The sequence below is a fragment of the Homo sapiens genome, chromosome X (genome assembly GCF_000001405.40).
Source record: "Homo sapiens chromosome X, GRCh38.p14 Primary Assembly".
Classification (NCBI taxonomy): Eukaryota; Metazoa; Chordata; class Mammalia; order Primates; family Hominidae; genus Homo; species Homo sapiens.
The window spans coordinates 57,147,948-57,162,823 of NC_000023.11; the positions used below are offsets into that span (position 1 = coordinate 57,147,948).

The 14,876-nt window shown below is 41.2% G+C and overlaps 1 protein-coding gene across 1 annotated transcript in view; it reads left to right on the forward strand.

Moving 5' to 3' along the window:
• Positions 1 to 14,876, forward strand: part of FAAH2 (fatty acid amide hydrolase 2) — a 367,606-nt gene that overhangs the window by 26,357 nt on the left and 326,373 nt on the right. The gene's annotated exons all lie outside the window — the stretch shown is intronic.

Sequence of the window (14,876 nt, forward strand, 5' to 3'; positions counted from 1 at the left end):
AATTTGTTGAGACTTCTTTTTGGCCTATCATATAGCCTATTACATAGAATTTTCCACGTGCTGATGAATAGAATGTACATTCTGCAGCTGTTGGATACAATGTTGTCAAAGATCAGATAGTTGTAGATATGCGGCATTATTTCTGGGGGCTCTGTTCTGTTTCATTGGTCTATATCTCTGTTTTGGTACCAGTACCATGCTGTTTTGGTTACTGTAGCCTTGTAGTATAGTTTGAAGTCAGGTAGCATGATGCCTCCGGCTTTGTTCTTTTGGCTTAGGATTGACTTGGTGATGCAGGCTCTTTTTTGGTTCCATATGAACTTTAAAGTAGTTTTTTCCAATTCTATGAAGAAAGTCATTGGTAGCTTGATGGGGATGGCATTGAATCTATAAATTACCTTGGGCATTAAGGCCATTTTCACGATATTGATTCTTCCTACCCATGAGCATGGAATGTTCTTCCATTTGTTTGTATCCTCTTTTATTTCATTGAGCAGTGGTTTGTAGTTCTCCTTGAAGAGGTCCTTCACATCCCTTGTAAGTTGGATTCCTAGGTATTTTATTCTCTTTGAAGCAATTGTGAATGGGAGTTCACTCATGATTTGGCTCTGTTTGTCTGTTATTGGTGTATAAGAATGCTTGTGATTTTTGTACATTGATTTTGTACCCTGAGACTTTGCTGAAGTTGCTTATCGGCTTAAGGAGATTTTGGGCTGAGACAATGGGATTTTCTAGATATACAGTGATGTGATCTGCAAACAGGGACAATTTGACTTCCTCTTTTCCTAAATGAATGCCCTTTATTTCCTTCTCCTGCCTCATTGTTCTGGCCAGAACTTCCAACACTAGTTGAATAGGAGTGGTGAGAGAGGGCATCCCTGTCTTGTGCCAGTTTTCAAAGGGAATGCTTCCAGTTTTTGCCCATTCAGTATGATACTGGCTGTGGGTTTGTCATAGATAGCTCTTATTATTTTGAGATATGTCCCGTCATACCTAATTTATTGAGAGTTTTTAGCATGAAGAGGTGTTGAATTTTGTCAAAGGCCTTTTCTGCATCTATTGAGATAATCATGTGGTTTTTGTCTTTGGTTCTGTTTATATGCTGGATTACATTTATTAATTTGCGTATGTTGACAGCCTTGCATCCCAGGGATGAAGCCCACTTGATCATGGTGGATAAGCTTTTTGATGTGCTGCTGGATTCGTTTTGCCAGTATTTTATTGAGGATTTTTGCATCAGTGTTCATCAAGGATATTGGTCTACAATTCTCTTTTTTGGTTGTGTCTCTGCCCGGCTTTGGTATCAGGATGATGCTGGCCTTATAAAATGAGTTAGGGAGGATTCCCTGTTTTTCTATTGATGGGAATAGTTTCAGAAGGAATGGTACCAGCTCCTTCTTGTACCCCTGGTAGAATTCGGCTGTGAATCCATCTGGTCCTGGACTTTTTTTGGTTGGTAAGCTATTGATTATTGCCACAATTTCAGAGCCTGTTATTGGTCTATTCAGAGATTCAACTTCTTCCTGGTTTAGTCTTGGGAGGGTGTATGTGTCGAGGAATTTATCCATTTCTTCTAGATTTTCCAGTTTATTTGCATAGAGGTGTTCATAGTATTCTCTGATGGTAGTTTGTATTTCTGTGGGATCGGTGGTGATATCCCCTTTGTCATTTTTTATTGCATCTATTTGATTCTTCTCTCTTTTCTTCTTTACTAGTCTTGCTAGCGGTCTATCAATTTTGTTGATCTTTTCAAAAAAACAGCTCCTGGATTCATTAATTTTTTGAAGGGATTTTTTTTTGTCTCTATTTGCTTCAGTTCTGCTCTGATTTTAGGTATTTCTTGCCTTCTGCCAGCTTTTGAATGTGTTTGCTCTTGCTTTTCTACTTCTTTTAATTGTGATATTAGGGTGTCAATTTTGGATCCTTCCTCCTTTCTCTTGTGGGCATTTAGTGCTATAAATTTCTCTCTACACACTGCTTTAAATGTGTCCCAGAGATTCTGGTGTGTTGTGTCTTTGTTCTCATTGGTTTCAAAGAACATCTTTATTTCTGCCTTCATTTTGTTATCTACACAGTAGTCATTCAGGAGCAGGTTGTTCAGTTTACATGTAGTTGAACGGTTTTGAGAGCGTTTCTTAATCCTGAGTTCTAGTTTGATTGCACTGTGGTCTCAGAGACAGTTTGTTATAATGTCTCTTATTTTGCATTTGCTGAGGATTGCTTTACTTCCAACTATGTGGTCAATTTTGGAACAGGTGTGATGTGGTGCTGAAAAGAATGTATATTCTGTTGATTTGGGGTGGAGAGTTCTGTAGGTGTCTATTAGGTGCACTTGGTGCACAGCTGAGTTGAATTCCTGGATATCCTTGTTAACTTTCTGTCTCATTGATCTGTCTAATGTTGACAGTGGGGTGTTAAAGTCTCCCATTATTATTGTGTGGGATTCTAAGTCTCTTTGTAGGTCACTAAGGACTTGCTTTATGAATCTGGGTGCTCCTGTATTGGGTGCATATGTATTTAGGATAGTTAGCTCTTCTTGTTGAATTGATCCCTTTTCTATTATGTAATGGTCTTCTTTGTCTCTTTTGATCTTTGTTGGTTTAAAGTCTGTTTTATCAGAGACTAGGATTGCAACCTCTGCCCTTTTTTGTTTTCCATTTGCTTGGTAGATCTTCCTCCATCCCTTTATTTTGAGCCTATGTGTATCTCTGCATGTGAGATGGGTTTCGTGAATACAGCACACTGATGGGTCTTGACTCTTTATCCAATTTGCTAGTCAGTGTCTTTTAATTGGAGCATTTAGCCCATTTACATTTAAAGTTAATATAGTTATTTGTGAATTTGATTCTGTCTTTATGATGTTAGCTGGTTATTTTGCTCGTTAGTTGATGCAGTTTCTGCCTAGCCTTGATGGTCTATACAATTTGGCATGTTTTTGCAGTGGGTGGTACCGGATGTTCCTTTCCATGTTTAGTGCTTCCTTCAGGAGCTCTTTTAGGGCAGGCCTGGTGGTGACAAAATCTCTCAGCATTTGCTTGTCTGTAAAGTATTTTATTTTTCCTTCACTTATGAAACTTAGTTTGGCTGGATATGAAATTCTGGGTTGAAAATTATTTTCTTTAAGAATGTTGAATATTGGCCCCCACTCTCTTCTGGCTTGTAGAGTTTCTGCTGAGAGATCCACTGTTAGTCTGATGGGCTTCCCCTTGTGGGTAACCCGACTTTTCTGTCTGGCTGCCCTTAACATTTTTTCCTTCATTTCAACTTTGATGAATCTGACAATTATGTGTCTTGGAGTTTCTCTTCTCAAGGAGTATCTTTGTGGCATTGTCTGTATTTCCTGAATCTGAATGTTGGCCTGCCTTGCTAGATTGGGGAAGTTCTCCTGGATAATATCCTGCAGAGTGTTTTCCAACTTGGTTCCATTCTCCCCGTCACTTTCAGGTACACCAATCAGACATAGATTTGGTCTTTTCACATAGTCCCATATTTCTTGGAGGCTTTGTTCATTTCTTTTTATTCTTTTTTCTCTAAACTTCCCTTCTCACTTCATTTCATTCATTTCATCTTCCATCGTTGATACCCTTTCTTCCAGTGATCGCATCGGCTCCTGAGTCTTCTGCATTGTTCATGTAGTTCTCGAGTCTTGGCTTTCAGCTCCATCCGCTCCTTGAAGGACTTCTCTGCATTGGTGATTCTAGGTATCCATTTGTCTAATTTTTTTTTCAAAGTTTTTAACTTCTTTGCCATTGGTTTGAATTTCCTCCTGTAGCTCGGAGTAGTTTGATCGTCTGAAGCCTTCTCTCAGCTTGTCAAAGTCATTCTCCGTCCAGGTTTGTTCCATTGCTGGTGAGGAGCTGCATTCCTTTGGAGGAGGAGAGGCACTCTGCTTTTTAGAGTTTCCAGTTTTTCTGCTCTGTTTTTTCCCCATCTTTGTGGTTTTATCTACTTTTGGTCTTTGATGATGCTGACGTACAGATGGGTTTTTGGTGGGGATGCCCTTTCTGTTTGTTAGTTTTCCTTCTAACAGACAGGACCCTGAGGCCTGTTGGAGTTTGCTACAGGTCCACTCCAGACCCTGTTTGCCTGGGTATCAGCAGCAGTGGCTGCAGAACAGCAGTGGCTGTAGAACAGTGGATATTGGTGATCTGCAAATGCTGCTGCCTGATCATTCCTCTGGAAGTTTTGTCTCAGAGGGGTACTCAGCTGTGTGAGGTGTCAGTCTGCCCCTACTGGGGGGTACCTCCCAGTTAGGCTGCTCGGGGGTTAGGGTCCCACTTGAGCAGGCCGTCTGCCAGTCCTCAGATCTCCGGCTGCGTGCTGGGAGAACCACTACTCTCTTCAAAGCTGTCAGACTGGGACATTTAAGTCTGCAGAGGTTACTGCTGTATTTTTCTTTGTCTGTGCCCTGCCCCCAGAGGTGGAGCCTACAGAGGCAGGCAGGCCTCCTTGAGCTGTGGCAGGCTCCACCCATTTCGAGCTTCCCAGCTGCTTTGTTTACCTAATCAAGCCTGGGCAATGGCAGGCGCCCCTCCCCCAGCCTCGCTGCTGCCTTGCAGTTTGATCTCAGACTGCTGTGCTAGCAATCAGCGAGACTCCGTGGGCATAGTACCCTCCAAGCCAGGTGCAGGATATAATCTCTTGGTGTCCCATTTTTTAAGCCAGTTGGAAAAGTGCAGTATTAGGGTGGGAGTGACCTGATTTTCCAGGTGCCATCTGTCACCCCTTTCTTTGAGTAGGAAAGGGATCTCCCTGACCCATTGTGCTTCCCGAGTGAGGCAATGCCTCGCCCTGCTTTAGCTCGTGCCCGGTGTGCTGCACCCACTGTCCTGCACCCACTGTCTGGCACTCCCTAGTGAGATGAACCCGGTACCTCAGATGGAAATGCAGAAATCACCTGTCTTCTGCATTGCTCACACTGGGAGATGTAGACTGGAGCTGTTCCTATTTGGCCACCTTGGCTCCCCCCCCGCTGACCTCTGTCTTGATGACCTGTCTAGTGCTGTCAGTGGACTTTTGAAATCCCCCACTATTATCGTCTTGCTATCTATCTCATTTTTAAGGTCTGGTAGTAATTGTTTTATAAATGTGGAAGATCCAGTGTTAGGTGCATATGTATTTAGGATTGTTATATTTCCCTGTTGGTCAAGGCCTTTTATTATTATGTAATGTCCCTGTTTGTCTTTTTAAACTGCTCTTGATTTAAAGTTTGTTTTCTCAGTTACAAGAATAGCTACACCTGCTTGCTTTTGGTGTCTATTTGCATAGAATATCTTTTTCCATGCCTTTACCTTAAGTTTATGTGAGTCCTTATGTGTTAGGTGAGTCTCTTGAAGGCAGCAGATACTTGCTTGGTGAATTCTTATTCATTCTGCAATTCTGTATCTTTGAAGTGGAACATTTAGGCCATTTATATTCAATGTTAGTATTGAGATGTGAGATACTATTCCATTCATTGTATTATTTGTTGCCTGTATACCTTTTTTATATTGTATTTTAATTTTATGGGTTCTGTGAGATTTATGCTTTAAAGTGGTTTTGTTTTGATGTGTTTCCAGGATTGTTTCAAGATTTCAGTCTCCCCTTAGTAGTTCTTGTAGTGCTGTCTTGGTATTGGCAAATTCTCTCAGCTTTTGTTTGTCTAAAAAACACTGTGTCTTTTCTTCAATTATGAATCTTAGTTTTGCTGGATACAAAATTCTTGGCTTGTAATTGTTTTGTTTAATGAGGCTGAAGATAGGGCCCCAATTCCTTCTAGCTCGTAGAGTTTCTGCTGAGAAATTTTCTGTTAATCTGTTTTCCTTTATAGGTTACCTTGTACTTTTGCCTCACAACTCTTAAGATTCTTACCTTTGTCTTGACCTCAGATAACCTGAGGACAATTTGCCTAGGCAATGATCTTTTTGAGATGAATTTCCCAGGTGTTCTTTGAGCTTCTTGTATTTGGATGTCTAGGTCTGTAGCAATGCCAGGGATGTTTTACTTGAATATTCCCCCAAATATGTTTTCCAAACTTTTAGGTTTCTCTTCTTCCTGAGGAACTCCAATTATTCTTAGGTTGAGTTGTTTAAGATAATCCCAAACTTCTTGGAAGCTTTGTTCATTTAAAAATTTTTCTTCTTTGTCCTTGTTGGATTGAATTAAAGCAAAACCTTGTCTTTGAGCTCCGAAGTTCCTTCCTCTGCTTGTTCTATTTTATTGCTGACACCTTCTAGTACATTTTGCATTTCCCTAAGTGTGTCCTTTATTTCCTGAAGTTGTCATTATTTTTATTTATGCTATCTATTTCACTGAAGATTTCTCCCCTCATATGTTGTATCTTTTTTTTTTTTTTTTTGACACAGTCTCACTTTGTCACCCAGGCCAGAGTGCAGTGACATGATCTCGGCTCATTGCAACCTTTGCTCCCCAGTTCAAGCAATTCTCTTGCCTCAGCCTCCTGAGTAGCTGGGACTACAGGCACCCACGACCATGCCTGGCGATTTTTTTTTTTTATTGCATTTTTAGTAGAGACAGGGTTTCACCATGTTGGCCAGGCTGGTCTCGAACTCCTGACCTCAGGTGATCTGCCCACCTTGGCCTCCCAAAGTGTTGGGATTACAGTTATAAGCTACCACACCTGGCCTTGTTGTATCTTTTTATTTTTATTTTTTTAAATTGGATGTCACCTTTCTCTGGTGCCTCATTGATTAGCTTAATAATCAACTTTCTTAAATTGTTTTCAGGCAATTCAGGGATTTCTTGGTTTGTATCCATTGCTGGTGAGCTAGTGTAATGTTTTTGGGGGTGTTAAACAACCTTGTTTTGTTATATTTCCAGATTTTTTTTTTAATTTCTTCTCATTTGGTTAAGTCTATGTCTGAGGGAAGATCTGGGACTCAAGGCTGCTGTTCAGATTTTTTTTGTCTCATGTGGTATTCCTTTTATGTAGTACTCTCCTCTTTTTCCTGGGGATGTGGCTTCCTGAGAGCTGAACTGTAGTGATCGTTATTTCTCTTCTGGGTCTAGCCACCCAGCAGAGCTACCAGGCTCCAGGTTGGTACTGGGGGTTGTCTTCCCAGAGTCCTGTGATGTATACTATCTTTACTATCTTCAGGTCTCTCATCCAGGGATACCAGCACCTGCTGCTGTGGGGATGGCAGGAGAGTTAAATGGACTCTGTGAGGGTCTTTAATTGTGGTTGTTTGATGCACTGGTTTTGTGCTGGTTGGCCTCCTGCCACGAGGTGACACTTTAAAGAGATATGGAGGATCAGGTGGTAGGTGGGGCCCTAGTGCTCCCAAGAGAATATGCCCTTTGTCTTCAGCTACCAAGGTGGGTAGGGAAGGACCATCTAGTGGGGCAGGGTTAGGTGTGTCTGAGGTGAGACTCTCCTTGGGTGGAGCTTGCTGTGGCTGCTATGGCAGATGGGGGTGTGATTCCCAGTCAATGAGTTATTTTCCCAGGAGGATTATGGCTGCCTCTGCTTTGTCATGCAGGTTATCAAGGAAGTTGGGGAAGCTGGCAGTTAGAGGCCTCACCCAGCTCCCACGCAACCAAAAAGGCTAGTCTCACTCCCACCATGCCCCAATAGCACTGAGTTTGTTTCCAGGCAGTGGGGCGTGCTGGGCTGAGAACTTGCTCCAGGCTACTACTAGCCTTCAGGCTGAGAAAAAAGCAGGGCTCCCTGCCTTTGAGTCTGCACACGAGTTTCACGTCATCCCCCAAGTTCTGGCCAGGAGACTTTGGGTTCAGTTGGAACTGTTACAAAGTTCAGCTGGAGGTTTCCTTCTACTGTGATCTTTTCCCAGTTCCTCTGGCTACTGTGATCTTTTCCCAGTTCCTCTGGCAGCCCTCCTCAAGGAACACTGTGAGACAAGTCAGACATAGCTTCCCTGGGGACCCAGAGAGCCCACAGGGCTTTTCCTGCTTCTCCTCTACCCCTGTATTTCACTCGGCTCTATAAATTTACTCAGCTCAAGGCAAGGTGAAATCCTTCTCCCGTGATCTAGACCTTCAGGTTACTCTGTAAGGGTATGTGTTCAGGGGTACATGATCCCCCTTTCTCACTTTCACAGTTTGGGCACTCACAGTATTTGAGCTGTCTCCTGGGTCTTGCAGGAGCAATTCACTTCCTTCTCATATTTCATTCTTTTTCATCCTCTGGTAGTGTGTTTTGACATATCACGTCTTTGAGCTTACTAATTCTTTCTTCTGTTTGATCAACTCTGTTATTGACACACATGCATTTTTCATTCTGTCAATTGAATTTTTCAGCTCTAAGATATCTGTTTGATGTTTTAAAATGATTTCAGCTTCTATGGTAAAATCTCTGATGGAATTCTGAATACCTTCTATGTGTTATCTTGCAGTTCATTGAGCTTCCACAAAATAGCTATTTTGAATTCTGCCTCTGAGAGGTTCTATATCTCTGGCACTTCAGGATTGGTTTCTAGTGTCTTATTTAGTTCATTTAGTGATATCATGTCTCCTGGATGTTCTTAATGCTTGTGGATATTCTTCAGTATCTGGGCATTGAAGAGTTATGTATTTATTTCAGTCTTTGCAGTCTGGCCTTGTTCATACTGAATCTTCTGGAAATGGTTTTCCAAGAATTCAGAGGATACAGTATTAAGTGACCTAAGCCTGTGGTGACTGTAGCGATTTCAGCACTAGGTGGCAGCCTGAGCCCTGGTATGCTGCAACTCTTGCATTCTCCTAGATACACAGCCTTTGTGGACTTGGAAAAGATAAGAGAGAATTCCCTGGTTTTCCAAGCAAAGTCTCTTGCTCTGTTACCTCTCTTTCTGCTAATCAGATGGAATCTCTCTGTGCTGGGCTGCCTGGAGTTGGGGGAGAGGTGACACAGGCACTCCTATGACCACTGCACCTGTCACCGTGCTGGGTTGCACTTGAAGCCCAGGGCTTTCCAGACCGACACTAGTACTGGACCTCACCAAAGGCCCACAGCTGCCACTGTTTGGCTACTGCTAATGTTTATTCAGTGTCCAAATACATTTTAGTCTGTAGATGGCGAATCCAGCCAGAACTTGTTCTATCCCACCAGGGCAGCAGATTGCCTTCTTCGTCAGGGTGGGTTTAATAATGATGTACAGGAACAAAATTCTGGAATTGGAAGCTTCAGTATTTGATCTGGTGCTTTATTTTACTGTGGCTGAGCTGATACCCAGTTGCAAGACCAAGTCCCTTGTACTTTTATTTCTCCTTTGCCCAAGTGGAAAGAGTCTTTCTCTGAGCTGCACTATGTGGAATTGGGAGAGGGATCACACAGGTCCTCCACACCAACTGCAGCTGGTGTCCTGCTGAATCTCAATTCCATTCCACAGCATCTGAGACCAGCAGAATGCACCCAATGACTGTAGTCATGATGGCCTGGTTACCACTCAAATTTTCGAGGCCCTGAGCTACTTTAGTCAGGCAATGGCAAATTGGGCCAGGACCTGGGTTTCTCCTACTGGAGTATCAGATTCCCTTCTGGTCCAGGGCTGGTCTAAATGCTCCCTCCATGGGCACCAGTAGAAGTCTGCCTGGTGTTGCATTCCACTGTGACAAGGTGGCACTGGGTTCCCATGCAATCTCCACACTGACTGCACTCTTTCTCTCCCAACACACAGATTCTTCTGGCTGCCCTGTTTTAGATTGGGAGAGGGGTCATGTAGACAATGTGAGACTGTCCTTTCTATCCTCTTGAATGCATTTTTTCTTATATTTATGTTAAAACCAAGTACTGTGATCAATCACCTGACGTTTTGGTTCTTACAAAGGTATTTTTTGCATGAATACTTGTTTATTTTGGTGTTCCGCAGGGGGTAGGAGGATAATTGCTGGAGGATTCTACTAAGCCAATTTGCTCAGTTTAATTTTTATTTTTTATTTTTTATTTTTTCTCTTGAACTTCTTTCTTTCTTTTTTATATTATACTTTAAGTTTTAGGGTACATGTGCACAATGTGCAGGTTTGTTACATATTTATACAAGTGCCATGTTGGTGTGCTGCACCCATTAACTCATCATTTAACATTAGGTATATCTCCTAATGCTATCCTTCCCCTCTCTCCCACCCCACAACAGGCCCCGGTGTGTGATCTTCCCCTTCCTGTGTCCAAGTGTTCTCATTGCTCAATTCGCACCAATGAGTGAGAACATGCGGTCTTTGGTTTTCTGTCCCTGCGATAGTTTGCTGAGAATGATGGTTTCCAGCTTCATCCATGTCCCTACAAAGGACATGAACTCATCATTTTTTATGGCTGCATAGTATTCCATGGCGTATATGTGCCACATTTTCTTAATCCAGTCTATCATTGTTGGACATTTGGGTTGGTTCCAAGTCTTCGCTATTGTGAATAGTGCCACAATTAACATACGTGTGCATGTGTCTTTATAGAAGCATGATTTATAATCCTTTGGGTATATACCCAGTAATGGGTGGCTGTGTCAAATGGTATTTCTAGTTCGAGATCCCTGAGGAATCGCCACACTGACTTCCACAATGGTTGGACTAGTTTACAATCCCACCAACAGTGTAAAAGTGTTCCTATTTGTCCACATCCTCTCCAGCACCTGTTGTTTCCTGACTTTTTAATGATCACCATTCTAACTGGTGTGAGATGGTATCTCACTGTGGTTTTGATTTGCATTTCTCTGGTGGCCAGTCATGATGAGCACTTTTTAATGTGTCTGTTGGCTGCATAAATGTCTTCTTTTGAGAAGTGTCTGTTCATATCCTTTGCCCACTTTTTGATGGGGTTGTTTTTTTCTTGTAAATTTGTTTGAGTTCATTGTAGATTCTGGATATTAGCCCTTTGTCAGATGAGTAGATTGCAAAAATTTTCTCCCATTCTGCAGGTTGCCTATTCACTCTGATGGTGGTTTCTTTTGCTGTGCAGAAGCTCTTTAGTTTAATTAGATCCCATTTGTCAATTTTGGCTTTTGTTGCCATTGCTTTTGGCGTTTTAGACATGAAGTCTTTGCCCATGCCATGTCCTGAATGGTATTGCCTAGGTTTTCTTCTAGGATTTTTATGGTTTTAGGTCTAACATGTAAGTCTTTAATCCATCTTGAATTAATTTTCGTATAAGGTGTAAGGGATCCAGTTTCAGCTTTCTACATATGGCTAGCCAGTTTTCACAGTACCATTTATTAAATAGAGAATCCATTCCCCATTTCTTGTTTTTGTCAGGTTTGTCAAAGATCAGATAGTTGTAGATGTGTGGCATTATTTCTGAGGGCTCTGTTCTGTTCCATTTGTCTATATCTCTGTTTTGGTACCAGTACCATGCTGTTTTGGTTACTGTAGCCTTGTAGTATAGTTTGAAGTCAGGTAGCATGATGCCTCCAGCTTTGTTCTTTTGGCTTAGGATTGACTTGGCTATGCGGGCTGTTTTTTGGTTCCATATGAACTTTAAAGTAGTTTTTTCCAATTCTATGAAGAAAGTCATTGGTAGCTTGATGGGGATGGCATTGAATCTATAAATTACCTTGGGCATTATGGCCATTTTCATGATATTGATTCTTCCTACCCATGAGCATGGAATGTTCTTCCATTTGTTTGTATCCTCTTTTATTTCATTGAGCAGTGGTTTGTAGTTCTCCTTGAAGAGGTCCTTCACATCCCTTGTAAGTTGGATTCCTAGGTATTTTATTCTCTTTGAAGCAATTGTGAATGGGAGTTCACTCATGATTTGGCTCTGTTTGTCTGTTGTTGGTGTATAAAAATGCTTGTGATTTTTGTACATTGATTTTGTATCCTGAGACTTTGCTGAAGTTGCTTATCAGTTTAAGGAGATTTTGGGCTGAGACAATGGGATTTTCTAGATATACAATGATGTGATCTGCAAACAGGGACAATTTGACTTCCTCTTTTCCTAAATGAATGCCCTTTATTTCCTTCTCCTGCCTCATTGTTCTGGCCAGAACTTCCAACACTAGTTGAATAGGAGTGGTGAGAGAGGGCATCCCTGTCTTGTTCCAGTTTTCAAAGGGAATGCTTCCAGTTTTTGCCCATGCAGTATGATATTGACTGTGGGTTTGTCATAGATAGCTCTTATTATTTTGAGATACGTCCCATCAATACCAAATTTATTGAGAATTTTTAGCATGAAGCATTGCTGAATTTTGTCAAAGGCCTTTTCTGCATCTATTGAGATAATCATGTGGTTTTTGTCGTTGGTGCTGTTTATATGCTGGATTACGTTTATTGATTTTTGTATGTTGAACCACCCTTGAATCCCAGGGATGAAGCCCACTTGATCATGGTGGATAAGCCTTTTGATGTGCTGTTGGCTTCGGTTTGCCAGTATTTTATTGAGGATTTTTGCATCAATGTTCATTAGGGATATTGTTCTAAAATTATCTTTTTTGTTGTTGTATCTCTGCCAGGCTTTGGTATCAGGATGATGCTGGCCTCATAAAATGAGTTAGGGAGGATTGCCTCTTTTTCTATTGATTGGAATTGTTTCAAAAGGAATGGTATCAGCTCCTCCTTGAACCTCTGGTAGAATTTGGCTGTGAATCTGTCTGTTCCTGGACATTTTTTGGTTTGTAAGCTATTAATTATTGCCTCAATTTCAGATCCTGTTATTGTTCTATGCAGAGATTCAACTTCTTCCTGGTTTAGTCTTGGGAGGGTGTATGTGTTGAGGAATTTATCCATTTCTTCTAGATTTTCTAGTTTATTTGCCTAGAGGTGTTTATAGTATTCTCTGATAGTAGTTTGTATTTCTGTGGGATCGGTAGTGATATCCCCTTTGTCCTTTTTTATTGCATCTATTTGATTCTTCTCTCCTTTAATAGTCTTGCTTCTCTCTTTTCTTTAATAGTCTTGCTAATGGTCTTTCAATTTTGTTGATCTTTTCAAAAAACCAGCTCCTGGATTGATTGATTTTTTGAAGGGTTTTTTGTGTCTTTATTTCCTTCAGTTCTGCTCTGATCTTAGTTATTTCTTGCCTTCTGCTAGCTTTTGAATGTGTTTGCTCTTGCTTCTGTAGTTCTTTTAATTGTGATGTTAGGGTGTCAATTTTAGATCTTTCCTGCTTTCTGTTGTGGGCATTTAGTGCTATAAATTTCCCTCTACACACTGCTTTGAATGTGTCCCAGAGATTCTGGTATGTTGTGTCTTTGTTCTTGTTTGTTTCAAAGAACATCTTTATTTCTGCCTTCATTTTGTTATGTACCCAGTAGTCATTTAGGAGCAGGTTGTCCGGTTTCCATGAGGTTGAGCAGTTTTGAGAGAGTTTCTTAATCCTGAGTTCTAGTTTGATTGCACTGTGGTTTCAGAGACAGTTTGTTATAATTTCTGTTCTTTTACATTTGCTGAGGAGTGCTTTGCTTCCAACTATGTGGTCAATTTTGGAATAAGTGTGATGTGGTGCTGAAAAGAATGTATATTCTGTTGATTTGGGGTGGAGAGTTCTGTAGATGTCTATTAGGTCCGCTTGGTGCAGAGCTGAGTTCGGCTCCTGGATATCCTTGTTAACTTTCTGTCTTGTTGATCTGTCTAATGTCGACAGTGGGGTGTTAAAGTCTCCCATTATTATTGTGTGGGAGTCTAAGTCTCTTTGTAGGTCACTAAGGACTTGCCTTATGAATCTGGGTGTGCCTGTATTGGGTGCATATGTATTTAGGAGAGCTAGCTCTTCTTGTTGAATTGATCCCTTTACCGTTATGTAATGGCCTTCTTTGTCTCCTTTGATCTTTGTTGGTTGAAAGTCTGTCTTATCAGAAACTAGGATTGCAACCCCTGCCTTTTTTAGTTTTCCATTTGCTTGGTAGATCTTCCCCCATCCCTTTATTTTGAGCCTATGTGTGTCTCTGCACGTGAGATGGGTCTCCTGAATACAGCACACTGATGGGTCTTGACTCTTTATCCAATTTGCCAGTCTGTGTCTTTTAAATGGAGCATTTAGTCCATTTACATTTAAAGTTAATATTGTTACGTGTGAATTTGATCCTGTCATTATGATGTTAGCTGGTTATTTTGCTCATTAGTTGATGCAGTTTCTTCCTAGTCTTGATGGTCTTTACATTTTGGCATGATTTTGCAGTGGCTGGTACCGGTTGTTCCTTTCCATATTTAGTGCTTCCTTCAGGAGCTCTTTTAGGGTAGGCCTGGTGGTGACAAAATCTCTCAGCATTTGCTTGTCTGTAAAATATTTTATTTCTCCTTTGCTTATGAAGCTTAGTTTGGCTGGATATGAAATTCTGGGTTGAAAATTCTTTTCTTTAAGAATGTTGAATATTGGCCCCCAATCTCTTCTGGTTTGTAGGGTTTCTGCCGAGAGATCCGCTGTTAGTCTGATGGGCTTCCCTTTGAGGGTAACCCAACCTTTCTCTCTGGCTGCCCTTAACATTTTTTCCTTCATTTCAACTTTGGTGAATCTGACAATTATGTTTCTTGGAGTTGCTCTTCTCGAGGAGTATCTTTGTGGCGTTCTCTGTATTTCCTGTATCTGAATGTTGGCCTGTCTTGCTAGATTGGGGAAGTTCTCCTGGATAATATCCTGCAGCGTGTTTTCCAACTTGGTTCCATTCTCCCCATCACTTTCAGGTACACCAATCAGACGTAGATTTGGTCTTTTCACATAGTCCCGTATTTCTTGGAGGCTTTGCTCATTTCTTTTTATTCTTTTTTCTCTAAACTTCCCTTCTCACTTCATTTCATTCATTTCATCCTCCATTGCTGATACCCTTTCTTCCAGTTGATCGCATCGGCTCCTGAGGCTTCTGCATTCTTCACGTAGTTCTTGAGCCTTGGTTTTCAGCTCCATCAGCTCCTTTAAGCACTTGTCTGTATTGGTTATTCTAGTTATACATTCTTCTAAATTTTTTTCAAAGTTTTCAACTACTTTGCATTTGGTTTGAATGTCCTCCCGTAGCTCA